We start from the raw sequence: 18,281 nt of genomic DNA, 5'->3' as shown, positions 1-18,281 counted from the left end.
CAAAGACTCTCAAGGTGTCCTGTTTATGTCCAGACTAATATGCAGCCATCTTTCTCAGGCACATCATTCAGAAGAGACAGACTTGAGTCCAAGGTTTGGTTTCATTAGCCTTGTGTAGAACTTAGGCAATATTAAGTTAGAAAGGTAATTCAAAATTTCTCATTGGTAGGATGGAAACTGTTGGAACCAAAGGTATATTGGAGAACTAGTTATTCATACCTGACACCATGATTTCAGCCACTAGCATGTGTTGAGATTCTGTAATGTTATCTTCTGACACTCTAGTCTTGGACAAGATGTCCAATGGTGTTACTTGGTTCTTTAGATCAACTTCACCACCTATTGAAGGTCAATAGATGCAATTAAATTTAGCTTTTCTGTTTCAAAAAAAAAGTTTGATTTCATTTATGTTTACGACTATTCATTGGTTGTGAGTTCAGACTCATTCTTACAGTAAGAGGATTCAGAGAAACTGTCAGGGTCTTGGTAACTTAGTAAACCTCACCCTGCTATCCCACACCCTCTCATTTTCACTGAGCACTTAATGATTCGGGGGATAAGGAACCAGTACGGAAGAAAGATAGGACTCTTTCAGGTACTGGCAAAAAACAAGAGTAAAATACCAAAACCCTCAGGGACATGATCAGCTCATAATCACAGCCCACGGTTATTAAGGACAAAATAGATGATCTTCCCAACTTGTCTTCCATACACATGCTTCCTCCTTTATGCTGCTTTCATGCTTATTTTAGCCTGATTTTACCTACATCTTATAATATGAAAGGACATTAAAAAGTCATGATTTAATACAGGCATAAGATTCTCGCACTGCCCACTCTCAGAACAGGGGAGAAATGGATTCTGTAAGACAGCAGTTTTCTAAACTGTGATCCACAGAACCCTGGGCTCATCCTTCAGAATGTCCCTAAAGTCATAATTCTTTTCATAATAATACTATAAAGTTAACTGCCTTTTTCCACCATGTTCACATTTGTACTGATATGGCAAAAGGAATGTGGGCAACAGCTGGTGTCTTAGTATGGAAAAAGGAAATGACAGCAAACTCTACCAGTAGCTGAGCTCTTCACTGCCACACACTCATATTAAAAAAGAAAAGAAAAGAAAAGAAAAAAGGCCGGGCACGGTGGCTCATGTCTGTAATCCCAGCACTTTGGGAGGCCAAGGCGGGTGGATCACATGAGGCCAAGAGTTTGAGACCAGCCTGGCCAACATGGTGAAACCCTGTCTCTACTAAAAATACAAAAATCAGCTGGGCATGATGGTGCACGCCTGTAATCCCAGCTACTCGGGAGGCTGAGGCAGGAGAATCTCTTGAACCCTAGAGGCAGAGGTTGCAGTGAGCTGAGATCTTGCCACTGCACTCCAGCCTGGGTGACAGAGCAAGACCCTGTCTCAAAAAAATTAAAAGAAAAAGAAAAAGAAAAAAAAATTGGCTGGGCAGGGTAGCTTACACCTATAATCCCAGCACTTTGGGAGGCCGAGGTGGGAAGACCACTTGAGGCCAGAAGTTCAAGACCAGCCTAGGCAACATAGCATGACCTTGTCTCTACAAAAAATAAAAATAAAATAAAATAAATTAATAATTTAAATACATTAATAATTAATAATTTAAATAAATTAAATAAAAATAAAAATAAATTAGCCAGGCATGGTGGTGCATGCCTGTGGTCCCAGCTACTAGGAGGCTAAGGTAGGGTCCCAGCTATTTGAGCCTGGGTGGGGCCAAGGCTGCAGTGAGCCATGAACATGCCACTGTACTCCAGCCTGAGCAACAGAGGGAGACCCTGTCTCAAAAAATAAAAATAAAACCCAGTTTCACAAGAAGATTGTTGTGAATCAATAAGAATTATTAATTTTTAAAACTCTTGACCATTGACTACACAGCTTTTTAACACTCTATGTAATAAAATAAGAAATGCATATAAATTCTTTCAGTGCATACTAAAGTTATGATGGTTAGCTAGAGGAAAAACATAAGTAAATTTTGAATTGTGAGCTGAAACTAGCCTCTTTTTTTCATTGCATAACTTTTGTTTATTTTTCATCAATCTGTTACTTTACTTATATTTACACCATGCCTACCAGATAAATATAAATTTTTAAAAAATTTAATAAAATGTAAATTATCTTTGGTATATTTCTGCTAGAAAGATATCAAGGGATGAATCCACAGATGCCCAGATTGTTTGGGTGCACATTCAAGGGAGGCAAATAAGTACTACTGGTTATACCTCACACTTGGTTTACTCTTCCTCTTCCTCAAAGTCATATCTAGTTTGTAAAAAAGTACATCACAAGCCTTCTCAGGCTGGATTTCCCACATTTGTCTGATATCCTGAAGTTATTTTTTATAAAGGACTTTGATTTTCTTATTAAGACCTGTCATGTGATAAGAGATCATATACTACTACCTCTAAAATTGAGGACATAAAACTTCTAAACAAAATATCGCTGAACATTTTTGTGAGGTGATAGCATTTTGGCATTTATTTCCAAGCCTGGGACCCACTCCACTATAAATGGGGAGGTGGAGGGCTTGGAGCTTAAGACTGTTACCACTAGAGGTCAATTGAATTTTGCCTGTAATAAGGAACTCAAAACTCAGCAGAAGAGAACAAATAAACAAACAAATTCTTAGCATTCCTAAAAACAGGAGAACTTTTAACATCCAAAATATTCAAAATCAGCAAAAGCATAAAGATTGATGTACAGCTGTATTTCTGAGCCAACGTTAGGTAATTTGCCACATAATTTATTATATTACCTGCCAACAGCTGATGACCATCCAGAGCCAGACACGTTTTCCCATCTGAGGCTTTCATAAAACCTTCACGACACGAACACCAAGCAGTTCCAAGCCTCTTTTTGCAAATATGTTCACAGCCTCCGTTTTGATATAAGCAGGGATCTGCTCCTAGTAGAGAAAAGAAACAAATTCACAAGTGGGTTTGAAGATGAAAAGGATGCCATTAATGCAAGTCTACAGCTTGCTTTTAGGGAGCTATAGCTTTTAGGGAGAGAAATGCAGTGTATCTAAATAGAGGGTATATCAATAGCTATTTCAGAAGAGTTCCCCCAAGGAGCCACTGATTCTAAGATAAGCCCAGAATGTTATTACCTTATTAGTACTGGGTATAGCCAGCACTTTTTTCAAGAAGCTCTTTAGTCAAATGTGATTCTTATTTCCTGACTCATCATCTAGTCAAACTGACAAAGAGCAATTCAGAAAGAAGAGCTACTATAAAATGTGAAATGCCTTTTCCATTTGCTCACTCCTCAGGGGTATGGAAAGGTCCAAGTGTCGACAGAAGCTTCCACTGCCGGTGTCTAAATTGCCTGCCTTAACCCAAGGCTCTTCGAAATGCAGCAGGTAAGTAAAAGTTGTTCAAGAAAAGAGGTGAAATTGGAGGGATAAAGCCCCAATTACCAAACTACCAGATTGTCTTAAACAAACTTAAATCTTAGAAAATCTTAACATCTACACAGTTAGTGAAAGTTACAAAATCCCCTCCACCCCCCCGCCAACTGCATGACATCAAACAATTAAAACAGTTGCAGATTCCAGCCAAGGAAAGACTGTGTAACATCTCCAGTATGTACCTGGTTTTGCCAATGGATGAACCACAACCAGTGATGAGGGCTTCAGCATGCTGCCTTGGAGACGTACTCTATCTTTGCCAGTCCTCTTGTTTACTCTCATTACTGATGGCATAGCCCAATCTGAGAACCACACATAATCCTCAAACACTGCTACAGCAAATGGGTGACCTGGAAACAATTCAAGTTTGTTAAATACACCTTCTTTGTCTTTGCAATGACTATTTACGAAAGGACAAGGCTTGAAATTTACACAACATTCCTACACTAAATCAGCTCTTTAGCTACTCAGCAAGTTATGAGTGAGCCACCGACTCACACACCTGCCTCAAGGAAAGCCCACATGAGGAGGGAACGTCACCTTAGAATGGGAGCATAGTGGCATGAGGTCCCAGCAAGGCCCACTATCACCCAGCAGTTGCAGAGTGGGAGAATGTGGGCTGATTGTCGTCCTAGCCCCATGAAGGAGAAAGGTGGAATTTTCCTTGTTTAGTACATCTGTCGCTACTTATAGACTAAACTCGAGTAACTTATCTTACCACTCTTTGCCTTAGGTTCCTACTCTTTTGAGCAGCAGTAATAAGGGGTAGATCAAATTCACAAGTTCTTGTAAGGATTTTTCAAAATTTGAGGTAATTGTATAAGAGTCTCCCCACATTCCCATCTCCACCAACACATTTGCCTGCATTAGTCCCCCACCTTCTTTCCCCTCTCTCCTTATTTAATATTGACCTGTGCCCCTGATGTCACCCTTCCTGCCTTCTCTAGGGCCTGGATCCATCAACGACCACCCCCTTTCTCTTACATCTTCCCTCTCTTCATTCCACTAGCTTTGTTCCCTCTGTCTACTATAACCTCTCTCCCATCTTCATTTCCTCATCCCCGTGACCCCTCTAGCTCCTCCTTGTCTCTTTCCTTCCCTTTTTAGCCACATTTTTGAAAGAGTCATTTATTATCAGCTGCCTCCATTTTCATGCCTCCTACTAACAGTAAGTGGGCATCTTTCTGAGCCCACCTTCACCAAACCTACCTCTCTGTGCCACTGGAACTGCTCTGAGAAGGCATGCAAGTATTGAATACGCAAGGGAATGTTTTAACGTTCTATCTCAGGTGGTTAGAGACTAAAGCTAAGGAGGCTGAAGTTGGATGTTTTAATCAAGGCTACTCACATTCCCACAGACCACTCTTTTTGTAAACGAACAATGGATTTGACAGATTAGAATGAATGTCTTCCCCTACTGGTGGCAAACTCAAATAACTTGTTCTGGTTACAATGAGTCTCCACTTATCATTGTTGATCAGGGTCATTAAGATTCATTCTAGTCTCTGGCCCTTTGTCCCAAATTAAAGCCTTAAGTACAGCAAGGGAATTTTTAACATAGCTATAGTTCTTTTTTATCATGGTGAAAAAGCATAACAGAAAACTTAACAGCTCAACCATTTCTAAGTTCAGTAGTGTTAAGTACATTCACACATTGTTGTACAACCAATCTCCAGAATTTTTTCATCTTGCAAAACTGAAACTCTATGTCCATTAAACAACTTCTCATTTCCTCTCCCACATCCCCTGGAAACCACCATTCTCCTTTCTTTTCCTATGAATTTGGCTACTCTAGATACCTCAAATAATTGGAATTGTACAGTACGTGTCTTTTTGTGACTAGCTTATTTCACTTGGCATAATGTCCTCAGGAATTAATCCATGTTAAAGCACATGTTAGAATTAGCTATAGTGTTTAAACAAATACCTCACACTAGACATAATCTTTCTTATTTTTTGTTTACAGAAGAACCACAATTAATTGCATTTTAAATTAAGAATATCTTCAACCTTTTAAAATACATTTTTAATGTACAAACAATATTATATGTTTTTATTGCATACAACATGATGTTTTAAAATATATATACATTGTGGAATGGCTGAATCTAGCCAATTAACAAATGCATTACCTCAGTTATCATTTTTGTGGTAACAGCATGGAACATCCACTCTTAGAAGAAATTCTTAACTGGCAGCTGGGAAGCCACCACATATATACCAGTAGATGGCACTGTAATAATGGGAATGTTACTTACATAATTTAATATAAAATTATTTGATAATGGCCTTCAATAGTTGTATTAGTCATACAATATAGTAGCAATATAAATGATACACAAAGTATCTGCTATGCTTTTTAGTTTAAAATATAGTGTCCTCACATTCGGGTTAGAAATTTTCAAATTCCTTTCTACCTTTTTATGTCAAAGATACAATTTTACATTTATTTGGGTGATGTATTTTTTGGTTTTTGTATTTTTTGAGACGGTTTCACTCCGTCACCCAGGCTGGAGTACAGTTGCACAATCACGGCTCACTACAGCCTCAACATCCCAGGCTCAAGTGATCTTTTCACCTCAGCCTCCTGAGTGGCAGAGGGATTACAGGCACTCACCACCATGCCCAGCTAATTTTTGTATTTTTAGTGGAGCAGAGTTTCGCCATGTTGGCCAGGCTGGACTCGAACTCCTGGGCTCTAGTGATCCTCCCACCTTGGCCTCCCAAAGTGCTGGGATTACAGGTGTGAGCCACCATGCCCAGCCTGGATGATTTTTTTTTTTTTAGTAATGTATGTGTTCTGCACTAGATTCCTTGGCTTTGCAGATATCATATTTGTTTTACCCTCCACTGTATCTTCAGTTCCTGTAATGTGTCAATAAATACCCCTGAAGTAAAAGGATGATAAAGTCTAAGGTTGTGCATAAGCATATCACTTATTGTGAAGTATATCTTTAATTTTTAGAGAATCTTATAAATACATAAAATTTTAAATTATACTTATCTTAAGCCAAAGAGAATGGGCAAAATAGGTATCTTATACAGATTATTAGTTGGTTAGCTTCTTCCTAAATGAGAGAAACCATGTTTTTTCATCTTCCCAACCAATTTCTAACTCTCCAAAGCATCTTCAACACTTCCCTGGCTCTCATTTTCTATATGCAATCTGTTACAAAATCCTCTTAATTTTTTATGCACAATAATTTTTAATATCATAATCCTTCATTCCATTTTTAAATGACAATGTTCAAACTCAGACCATCACCAGTTGTTGCCTGGACAACCACTATAGGCTTCTAACAGATTTCCTTCTCTCCAAATTCCAATCGAACTCCTATACTTTACCTAAGCAGCTATCCAGAGATGCCAATCTTAACATATACATTTTATGTGCAAGAACATTCAATGCCCCTCTACTAAATTCAGAATTTAAGTTTAGTCAACATATCCTGGTAGTACTAACATACAAAGGCCAATTTTTGCAGGCTTATAATCTTTTGTCATCATCTATTTACCACATGGCCCAGTTTAAATACTGTCTTTGTACATTCCTGGAGTCAAAATAAATTTCCCACTGCTTATTTCATTGCCATTTTGTACTTCTTTTAACAGCTGGCATGAGCTACAATGTTTTAAAGATATTTATGAAAATATATGACACCCCATGTAAAATCTGAAAATAATAGGGGAGGAAACTATATTAATCTTTGCACAAGTTATCAACTGACATTCATTCATGCCTAAAATTGCCTATAATATCACTGTTGTGAAACAACTTTTCTAAAACATAAGAAATGAAAACAGCTGAACCAAGTTCTTATTCCTAAAGGAGTTTAGAAAATTTTAATATTTTCATTCTGATTTTGGGACTTCTCAGAAAGAGAAATGATTACGCAACACTATTTTTTACCCCGTATTCCAATGTTAAGGTAAGCTTTGCAGCTCATGATTCCCTGGAGAAGTCTGTCTCTATTCCATATTCACCCATACGGCTAAGTGGTATGTGTGTGTGTGTAAACATATTTTGTATTTAACACTCATAAACACTCAGTCAAGATGAAAAAATCGCCCATCCCAAAGCCTCACCTACATCATTCTGGGTAAGTCTTCGGCGTTTTGAACCATCCAGATTGGCCATTTCAATCACAGACTGCTTGGCATCGCACCAGTACAACTTGTCAGTTAAGAAGTCAATCGTTATTCCACTGGGCCAGATTAGATCAGAGCTGGCTATAACCAGACGGCCAAGGCCTTGGAGGGAAGAACTTTCAATTCGTGGATTAATCCCTGTATCAGTCCAGAATAATCTCCTTTAATCAAGAAAGCACACAACAAATAATATCTGCATGAAATAAATTATTCTGTTCTTTCATCATTGAAAATATCAATGTAAATTACCTCATGATATACTAAAGTGGTACACTAAGGAATACAGAAGAAGAGATAGCGCTGTATGTTCGGCAAATAATTTTGAAATGCAGAGCAATTAACTTGTCTATGTAAAGCATCTTCGAAAAGAAATGTTGAATTAAAGCTCAGATCATTAGATTAAAAAAGAAATTGGTTTAAAAATTGCAATATATGACTAATAAAATAGTCATGAGTAAATAGGCTTGAGTAAAATATTCTTGAATTAGCATTTTGTACTGCAAAAAGGCAATGAAATCTTGCTCGCCTGTTCTTCTGTTATGCATATGTAAAATTCACTGCATTTGTAAAACTACAACATAAAGGAAAGATCATATTTATCTGTTACCCAGTTTTATGCAATGTACTCTATTAACTCAGTTAATTTCAACTTCCATAAATCAGGTGCTGGGCACATTTTTTTTGAAGTCAATATGGTTCATAATTTTTATTGGCCTATTTAGAAATGGTTACGTTCTCACAGTTTTAATCATTTGGCTGGCTCCAAATCAATTATCAACTACTATCAATATATTATCTCCCATAAATCATTGTGAAATTTCCAGTGTAAATAAAATAGGGTTGGTTTTTATCTTTGTTTTTTAACAACTAGGAAGAAATTCTTTATTGTCCTTAAATCTCTAATCTGTAAATGAAAATGTGTCACTAACTCACAATTAACAGCACAGTCTTCTAACCTTTCACAGTTTCTGTTTTCTGTCATCTAAAATCTAGGAATGACCTATATCTTGTGATTTTTCTAAACAGAATCTATAAGTCATATAATCCAAATATCCTTTTCTGCTCAGTAAACAACAATGCAAATTTTTAAAGAAAGTAGATGAATGAGCTTGAGTCTAGTTGGTTAATGAATTACAGTGCATTTTTCTTTCAAAAACAAACTGAATTTATTTAAAAGAGCATATTAACAATAAAATTATTATACAAGAATAGAAAATCAAGACATTAAAAGCATGAGGAATTCATGCTGAAGATTTGAACAAATTGCATGGATTTTCTTGGTTTCTGGTTTTGGACACTAGCATATCAACCATGAACTGTCACATGACCTCTGCAGAGCAGTGCCTTATTTTTACAAATACCTACTTGGCCATTGGATGAACAGCAATTCCTCGTGGTTGAGAGATGTTCTCCTTAGTGATTATTTTGGAACGTTTCCCATTTAAATCACTCCTTCCAATCAGAGATTTCCTAAAATATGTGCAAAATAAGGGAGTTTGTTATAACACCTTTACTTTTCAAACAAAAATACTCCTTTCTCCTCTTTCTGAAATGCAAAGATAGGCATTCTAAACCAGCTCCTATTTCTGTTTCTCTCTCCCTATCTCTTACTCTTTCTCTCTCCCCCACCCACAAACAAAGTAGCAGCAATAAGCCCACAAATTTTATATTTGTAAACACTTTTAATTAGCATCCCAATATTTATTCCAGGTAATGAAAATACACAATGACAGGACAAGGTAAAAGGATCGTGTCAGTGGCTGGGTGAGGACATTCTCTTTATAACTTCCAATCTCCTGCTGAAACCAATGGAAGCCAGAAGCAAAGAGACTGTTATCCTCATGGGATCATGAAGACGAGGGAGACAAGCCAGCACAGAGACAGTAGGTGGAGATTTACATTGGCTTTAATTTTCTTCCATTTAATTCTAAGACAAATGGGAGTAAAATTGTCCCTTGGCATCTGTGGGGGATTGGTACCAGAACTCTCCAAGGATGCTCAATTCCCTGATATAAAATGGCACAGTATTTGGATACAATCTATGTACATTCTCCTGTACACTTTAAATCATCTCTAGATTACTTATACCTCATGTAATGTAAATGCTATGTAAATACAGTTATAAGTTATTGGTTTTTATTTGTATTATTTTTTATGACTGTATTCTTATTTTTAATTTAATTTAATTTTTGAATATTTTTGATCCAAGGTTGGTCGAATCCTCAGATGTGGAAGCTGTAGATAAACAGGGCCAATGGTACTGAAATATTACTTGCTAATCTTTACATTAAATAACCCAATGGAATCTGGCAGGGTAGAAAATTCTTATTTCCTGATTTTTCTATTTATTTGTCAAACAAATATTTACTGAGCACCAACTGTGTGTCAGGGATTGGTCTAAGCATTGGAGATACAATAGTAAATAAAGCCCTGTCTCTGTCCTTATAGAGCTCATAGTTCAACAGGAACAGAGGGAGAGAGAGGCAGAGGTGGGAGGGGAAGAGAAAGGGTTAGGTGGACTGGACGGGGAGGGGAAGAAAAGGTGGAGGGAAAGGGAAGGAGGAGAGGTCGGGGGAAGTAAGAGGGGAAAGAGGGAGAGGGGATTATAACACAGCAAATGAAAGCACATGCTGAAAAGAAGGATGTAAAGAATGTAATTGGAAGACTCAGGGAGGGTGACAGAGTGGGTAGCCCAGCCAAGCAGGGATCAGAGAAGGATTCCTGAAGATAATAACAAACGAAGATGAGAAGCAGGCAGCCAGGCAAAGGTGGGTGGGGATGGAAAGAGTACCCTAAGCAAGGGAATGTACATATACAAGTTCTAAAGTACAGGACCTAAAGAATGTGGGGCAGTTATACTTGCACTTTAGAAAGTTTGCTGTGGCTTTAGTGTGAAAGGGCGAGGCAGGCAGGAGATGACGGTGAGGAGATAAAACAGTAGCAGAAGAAATGGAGAAAACTGGATGAATTTAAATGCTAAACATGACTCTATAGCATCCCTGCCCCCTTCAGGAGCAAACAAGGGACGATCAGCAGCTTCTTGCAGCAGGTGGGACCACAGGCAGACAGGATATAAATAGGGCTAAGAAGAGCCTCCCTTTCCCAATGTACTGCCTGCTTTCCCTGTTTCCCTGCTGCAAACCAGAATATATAACCACCTTTAATTCATTCAATAAACATCTGTTAAAGGCCTCTCACCTTGCTCTTGAGGGCAATGTCTGCATGAAACAAGCCTGCCTAGAAACACAAGGTAGGGCCATTCCCTCCTCCCGGTTTTACAGAATGCTAAGGAGACCTTCTCTGGTGGCTGGTTCACCAACTATTTTCTAGGTGCTGTGTAGGGAACAGGACTACATGCACAGTGCTCTATGCACAGGGCCTTATTCACAGGCAGTATGCAGAAGAGAGGTGAAGGTAAAACTGGCTCAGTGACTATGCTGGGTTGGAAACACTTTGCAAACTACCAACTAAAGGCAGTGGAGAATTTGAAACCATTTCTACTCCAGTGCCACTTTAAAAAGATAATTTTACTCCCGGATGAAGTGGTCATAAGAAGGATACTGCTGGGTGGAAGATATTTTTGAACTTAATGTGTCAAGTTCTGTTCTCAGACACAACTGTCACTGTGCCTCTTCCCTTGGTGGGAGGGAAGAAATTCTGAGGCCACTTGCTTGTGACCAGGGGAGATGAAACTGTCACTTCTGATCTCATGATGATCTCTAATCATCTTAGAGATGAGAGACATCATCTCTAAATTCTGTTTCGGGCAGGAATTAAGTGATGAGACGAGAACGACATAAGCTCCTGACTGTGCAGCTGTCTCAAGGCAAGATCGCTGGAATTTACTTTTAAAGCTCCCCCAAGGTGTTCACCTAATATACTTCTATTTGATTCAGCTAGAGAGCAAATCTCAAACTCCAGTGTTGGTAGTGAGAAACCAAAGACCAGCAGGGATATTTGAGTTCATGGGAGTTCAAGCATCACCTTTAATCTAGAGGTGTGTCCTTCTCTCTCTAACCATTATCTAATTGTCCCAGTGTCACTGAGATCCTCCAAGAGAAAAACTCACCCTCCTTCTAGGGTAAGAGGTGTCCATCAACAACCCTAGAAGAGTGATTTTTTTTTTTACCTCATATTAGTTTTTGTTACCTCAAAAGAATGAATAAATAGATAGCTTATATTTTTACCTTCTTGATTCTTTACTAGGCAATTGACTTTAGGAATCAGTATTCCTTGATACTAAATAACAGCATTACCATTGGAATTTTCAATGTGCTTCCTTCCTACATTTAGATGTTAATTTGAATCTGTCTTTTCCTAGGCCAAAAAGGAACTGCAAGCATCCCACTTTGCCCCTTTTGATTGGCTAAGAGTTACCATGTGATCTAATATTATGAGATTGGAATCTCAGTTATTTACATCCAATTTCTAGGTAATATCAAGGTTTCCAAACCATAAACCTCTCATTTCCAGATAAATTAAAGGTTTTCTTTTAGCAGCTGCCTTTAGAGCCAGGAGGACTTAAGAAGGGCTTGTTATTACTGAAGCCAATGAACTGGGGAATTTAGGGTCTGATTCTCCAGGAAACAGTGGTGCCTGTCTATCTCCTGAACGCCTTGCCTCTGCAGTCGGTACCATGGTGCTATTAATCAAACACTGTTAAAATTAGAGGTCCCTTGTGAATGTGGGGAAATATGAGAAGACTTGGCATCCTTAGTGGACCCGAGAGTGGTTGACATCTGCCATTTTGATCATCGTTTACCCTCCTGAGAACAACCATGTACAGCTCTGTTATTATACACAGCCGACATTTAAAATATTCTTTTAAGTAGGTTCAACACAGAGGAGGTCATTATTATGATTTTTATAATTATTACAACTGAAGTTGATTTTAATTTGTCACATGACTCTGAGTCAACCATATGTTAAATCCACACTGGCTTGGGGCGGTGGTACATCTTTATGACTATTAAGAGAATATGCTTTGCAAATGGCCATCTTTGAGTTCCAATTACAGTTCCACATGGTACTTGTTGACTGCTTGACCTTGGGAAAGTTATTTTACCTCTCCAATTATCAATTTTCTTAATCTTTAAATTGGAGATAACAAAACTTACCTTTGGGGATTTAATAGTGTCATGGATATAAAGCACAGTATCTGGTGCATTGCAACTATTCAGTAAATAAATACTCAAATAATAAAGAAATGAAGGTATGATTAGATGAACAAATGAATGAATGAAAGAAAATATGCTCACCTTGGATGTAAAATGGCCATACTATTGATAACTGATAACCATATCATACAGATAAACAAATCAACAGATTTTTTTTTTTTTTTTTTTTTTGAGACGGAGTCTCGCTCTGCCACCCAGGCTGGAGTGCAGTGGTGCGATCTCCGCTCACTGCAAGCTCCGCCTTCCAGGTTCACGCCATTCTCCTGCCTCAGCCTCCTGAGTAGCTGGGACTACAGGCGCCCACCACCCGCCCGGCTAATTTTTTGTATTTTTAGTAGAGACGGGGTTTCACCATGTTAGCCAGGATGGTCTCGATCTCCTGACCTTGTGATCTGCCCACCTTGGCCTCCCAAAGCACATCAACAGATTTTTAAAAACCTGTTTCCCATGGATTATCCTGATAAAAAGAGATATTTCTAGGACACAAAATGCCTACCCCCAAGCATAGAAACCCATTCATTCCCTGGGACTTCTCCCTCTGTGTTGAAACTGCTGATTTCACAGAGGTTAAACCCTCATTCTCCCTTCTTTTACTTTTACTTGGTTGCTTTGGTACCAGATGTTCAGGATGGCCACCATTTCACTTTCTGGCTTTCCGTTACTCTGAGAATATATCTCAGAGCACATTGCATCTCTAGTATTATTTTGTGAGGGGTCTATCGTTAGCAGCTTCTCTTATAGTTCTGTAAGGAAGTGGGATCTCATTCGCACGCAGAAGGGATACAGCCATTTCCTTCCTGCTTCCTGCCATTCAGTTCTGAGGTTCACGCAGGCTGCATACACACCAAGTACAGTAGCCCTTCCTGCAGCTCTGAGAGTGGGGTTTCACAACTGCACTCTGGTTCTGTTTTTTCCCACCGTAGGGAAACAAAGAGCATCTCTCTTATCTCATGCACTTTCCTCACAACTCCAGCTGAAGTTCTCCTCCCTCCTTCATGCTTGTTTTAACAGGGAGTCAACATTCTAGTCCAAGATTTGTCACTTGCATGCCGAAGCTCATTCCATGGCAGCTCCCTTTGGGAGTGTACACCTGTCATTTGGCAATTATTTATGTGTGGCCCTATGACATTTCTTGAACTGCTATTTAGACCAAGAATTTGCATTAATTATTTTGCTGGGGAAATATACCTTATCTCCCCAGCTAAACTAAGAACCGACTGAAAAGATGGAGCACATCTTAGGCTCCTCTGTATCTCCCATGTGACTTCGGAGAAAGTCTTATTTCCATAGCAGATGCTCCGAGAATGCTTATTGCTTATATTCAGACAGGTTTTGAGTTTCCCTGATAACAAAAGCCTGAACTACCAAAACACAGGCTACTTTTTTTTTTATTATTATATTTTAAGTTCTGGGATACATGTGCAGAACGTGCAGGTTTATTACATAGATATACATGTGCCATGGTGGTTTGCTACACCCATCAACCCGTCATCTACATTAGGTATTTCTCCTAAAGCTATCCCTCCCCTTGCCACCCACCCTCCAAAAGGCCCCAGTGTGTGATGTTCCCCTCCCTCTGTCCATGTGTTCTCATTGTTCAACTCCCACTTATGAGTGAGAACATGCAGTGTTTGGTTTTCTTTTCCTAACACAGGCTACTTTCTTGGCCTTCAAAATCCTCCCACGCACACAGATGCAATCTTGATGAAAGGAGGAAGTGGAGGGAGTGTGGACCGCAATGGTGGCCTCTTTTCTCCAATCCCAACCAAATGCCCAGCAACATTTTTCTGTGTTCAAAGTGGAAGATGAAGCCAATAGTATTACCTATCCCATCACTCCCATCTCACACAGCTTAAAACTGAAGCAGAAAACATACCCTCTGTCTGTCCAATAGAATCTACGGCCAATCCAGTCCACAGCAAGACCTTCTGGCACATCTACTCCTTCCTCAATAAGCCTTTCTCGCTGGGAACCATCCATATTAGCTCTCTCTATCCACTTCAGGGCTGTATGGGCAAAGTATATCTACAAAAGAGAACACAGGCATTTCTGATTTTTTTTTAAAACTAATGTGGAATATATACAAATGGCACTAGTCTTTAGGTTGTACAGGGTGTTAAGAGCTTGACTTTGGAGATAGGCACACCTGCAACTAAATTCGAACTAGGCTGCTTCCCAGATACGTGTAACCTTAAGCAAGTTATTTAATGTCTCAGAATCTTAGTTTCCTCATCGGTAAAATAAGGATAATAATATCAATCTTATTAGGTAGGTAGGTAGGTAGGTAGATAGATAGATAGATAGATAGATAGATAGATAGATGTATATAGATATAAATATACATATATCCTTAGCCATGTATCTGGCACATATTGCTATTGCTATTGTTATTGCTATAGATAGATAGAGAGATAGATAGATAGATCTCCTTAGCCATGTATCTGGCACATATTGCTACTGCTATTGGTAATTTATTAACCCTTGATCATTGGTCAATGACGTAGCCATCATGCTTGAACTACTGTGGCTTCTGAAAGGGGGCAATGATTTGCAATTAATGAGGGCTACAAGCTGGGCTCAGTCTGTAGCACCCCACTTCACTGCAAGTCAAGAGATACTTAGTCACTGCAGGTCAAAACTGGTTCCCAGTTTTGTCACTTATTTGCTTGATTGCTTTGGATAAATTCTTTAACCTCAATTTTCTCAACTGTAAAAATGAGGAAGTTAGACTAGGTATTTGCTAAAGTTCCTTTAGTCTCTAATCTTATATTCAATCAGATGCCACATAATGACATTTCGGTTGATGATGAACTGCATATACGATGGTGATTCCGTAAGATGATAATGGAACTGAAAAATTTCTATCACCTAGTGACATTGTAGCATTCAAAATGTCATAGTGAAATTACTTTTCTTATAAGTTTAGTGTAGCCTAAATGTTCAGTGTTTGTCTACAGCAATGTACAGTCATGTCCTAAGCCTTCACATTAATTCACCACTCACTTACTGACTCATCCAGTGCAACTTCCAGTTCTGCAAGTTTCATTCATGGTAAGTGCCCTATAAAGGTGTATCATTTTAAAATATCTCTTATGCCATATTTTTTACTGTACCTTTTCTATGTTTAGATACACAAATTTTTACTACTGTGTTACAATACTGCTTACAGTATTCAGCATAGTAACATCCGCACAGGTTTGTAGCCTAGGAGCAAGAAGCTAGACCATTAGTGATGCATGACTGTAATTTCATTTTAATTCATCCATCTTGTTCAACAGAAGATTTCTTGCCAATGCGAAGTTCTTTTACAGTCTAGTATGCAGCCTATCACACAGGTACAAGAATTTCCATAAGACTGTTTAAAAATGACCCAAAGCAATATACAGATACAATGCAATTCTTATCAAATTGCCAACATCATTCTTCACAGAATTAGAAAAAACAATCCTAAAATTCACATGAAACCAAAAATAAGCCTGAAGAGCACAGACGATACTAAGCAAAAAGAAATAAAGCTGAAGGCACCATAGTACCTGACTTTATACTATAAGGCTGTAGTAACCCAAACAGTATGGTACTAGTATAAAAACAGACACATAAACCAATGGAATGGAATAGAGAACCCAGATTTAAAGTCATATGCCTACAACCAACTGATCTTTGACAAAGTCCACAAAAATATACGTTGGGAAAAGGATATCTTATTCAATAAATTGTGCTGGGGAAATTGGAGTGCCATAAACAGTAGAATGAAACTGGACTCTTATCTCTCACCATATAAAAAATTAACTCAAGATGGATCAAACACTTAGGTGTAAGCCTGAAACTATAAAAATCCTAGAAGAAGAACTAAAAGAAACTCTTCTGGACATTTGCCTAGGCAAAGAAATCATGACTAAGCCCTCAAAAGGAAATGCAACAAAAACAAAGATATACAAATGGGAATTAATTAAACTAAAAAGCTTCTGCACAGCAAAAGATAAAATCAACAGAGTAAACAGATAACCTACAGTATGGGAGAAAATACTTGCAAACAATGCAGTTCACAAAGGGCTAATATCCAGAATCTATAAGGAACTCAAACAACCCGAGAAGATAAAAACAAATAACCCCATTAAAAAGTGGGCAAAGGACATAAACAGACATTTTTCAAAAGAAGACACACAAGCAGCCTACAAACATATGAAAAAATGCTTAACATCACTAGTCATCAGAGAAATGAAAATCAAAATCACAATGAGATATCTTCTTACACCCATCAGAATGACTATTATTAAAAAGTTAAAAAACAGCAGATGTTGGCATGGATGTGAAGAAAAAAACAACTCTTATACATTGCTGGTGGGAATGTAAATTTGCAATCCTCTAGGGAAAAAGTATGGTGATTTCTCAAGAGCTAAAAATAGAATGACTTTTTAATCCAGCAATCCCACTACTGGCTATCTACCCAATGGAAAAGAAAGTATTATATCAAAAAGACACCTGCACTTGTATGTTTATCACAGCACTATTCATATAGCAAAGTCATGGAATCAATCTAAGTGTCCATCAATGGATGAGTGGATTTTTAAAATGTGTCATATATATACAATGGAATACTGCTCATAAAAAAGAATGAAATCATTGTGAGCAGCAACATGGATGGAATTGGAAGGCATTATACTAAGTGAAATGACTCAAATAGAAAATCAAAAATTGCATGTTCTCACCTATATGTGAGAGCTGAACAATGGGTACACATGGACATACAGAGTGGAATAACAGACATTGGAGACTGCAAGGGTGGGAGGGTGCAGGGGGGTAACAGGTGAAATACTACCTATGGGAACAATGTTCACTATTCAGGTGATAGGTAAATTAAAAGCCCAGACTTCACCACTACACAATCTATCCATGTAAGACAACTGTACTTGTACCCCTAAACCTATAAAAATTTAAAATGTATATATATATATATTTTTTTAAAGATATGGGTCAGTTGATAATTTAATGAAAGCATTGTAGAATTTTAACTGTGAGTACACATGTGTACATAAACTTACAATCAATAATGAGACTATTCAGAAAATGGTAAGTCGTTAAATAATGGGTTACTCTTCTTTCTAAATGAAATAGAAAAGGTTATGTTTCATAAATACAAATAGGGGTACTTCACTCCACTGGCACTGTGCTTCTCAAACTCTAATGTGCATAAGAATCACCTGATAATATTGTTAAAATGCAGATACTGATTTAGTGGTCAGGGGTGGAACCTGGAGGACTGCAGTTCTAATAATCTCCAGGTGTTGTTGACACTGCTGGCTCAAAGATCACAATTTGAGTAGCAAGAAAATAAGAAAATTAACCCAAGAAACAAAAACCAGCCACCTGACTTAAAATTCATTCTAGGTCTCCACATTCACTTGTTGTAAGAATACTGATTCTGCAGGAATAAAACTAGTTTGGTAATAAATGAATCTTGAACTGCCTTTTTTCTATTAATTATTTTTTTCTGTTATTGTAACTGTTCTATGGAA

At 38.1% G+C, this 18,281-nt stretch overlaps 1 protein-coding gene across 4 annotated transcripts in view, besides 1 other annotated feature; it reads right to left on the bottom strand.

Moving 5' to 3' along the window:
* The window catches only part of EGF (epidermal growth factor), a 100,884-nt gene that overhangs the window by 30,006 nt on the left and 52,597 nt on the right, over positions 1-18,281 (bottom strand). For all 4 annotated transcript variants that reach the window (NM_001963.6, NM_001178130.3, NM_001178131.3 and 1 more), the window contains 6 exons: positions 14,642-14,790; positions 8,954-9,058; positions 7,526-7,749; positions 3,622-3,789; positions 2,786-2,935; positions 220-339 (listed from right to left, as the gene is read on the bottom strand). In NM_001963.6, the coding sequence (NP_001954.2) occupies positions 220-339; positions 2,786-2,935; positions 3,622-3,789; positions 7,526-7,749; positions 8,954-9,058; positions 14,642-14,790 (916 nt within the window). The remainder of the gene's footprint in view (positions 1-219; positions 340-2,785; positions 2,936-3,621; positions 3,790-7,525; positions 7,750-8,953; positions 9,059-14,641; positions 14,791-18,281) is intronic.
* Positions 2,723-3,922: an enhancer, noted in NCBI's record as "BRD4-independent group 4 enhancer chr4:110900995-110902194 (GRCh37/hg19 assembly coordinates)". NCBI's record gives its function as "activates an origin of replication core promoter dependent on BRD2, P300/CBP, MED14 and CDK7 cofactors, and independent of BRD4, by STARR-seq in HCT116 cells {active_cell/tissue: HCT116}" and the evidence as "EXISTENCE:reporter gene assay evidence [ECO:0000049][PMID:35650434]".

Source organism: Homo sapiens, chromosome 4, assembly GCF_000001405.40.
Source record: "Homo sapiens chromosome 4, GRCh38.p14 Primary Assembly".
Classification (NCBI taxonomy): domain Eukaryota; kingdom Metazoa; phylum Chordata; class Mammalia; order Primates; family Hominidae; genus Homo; species Homo sapiens.
Note: the sequence above shows the minus strand (reverse complement) of the source record. Positions and strands in the feature narration are given on the sequence as shown.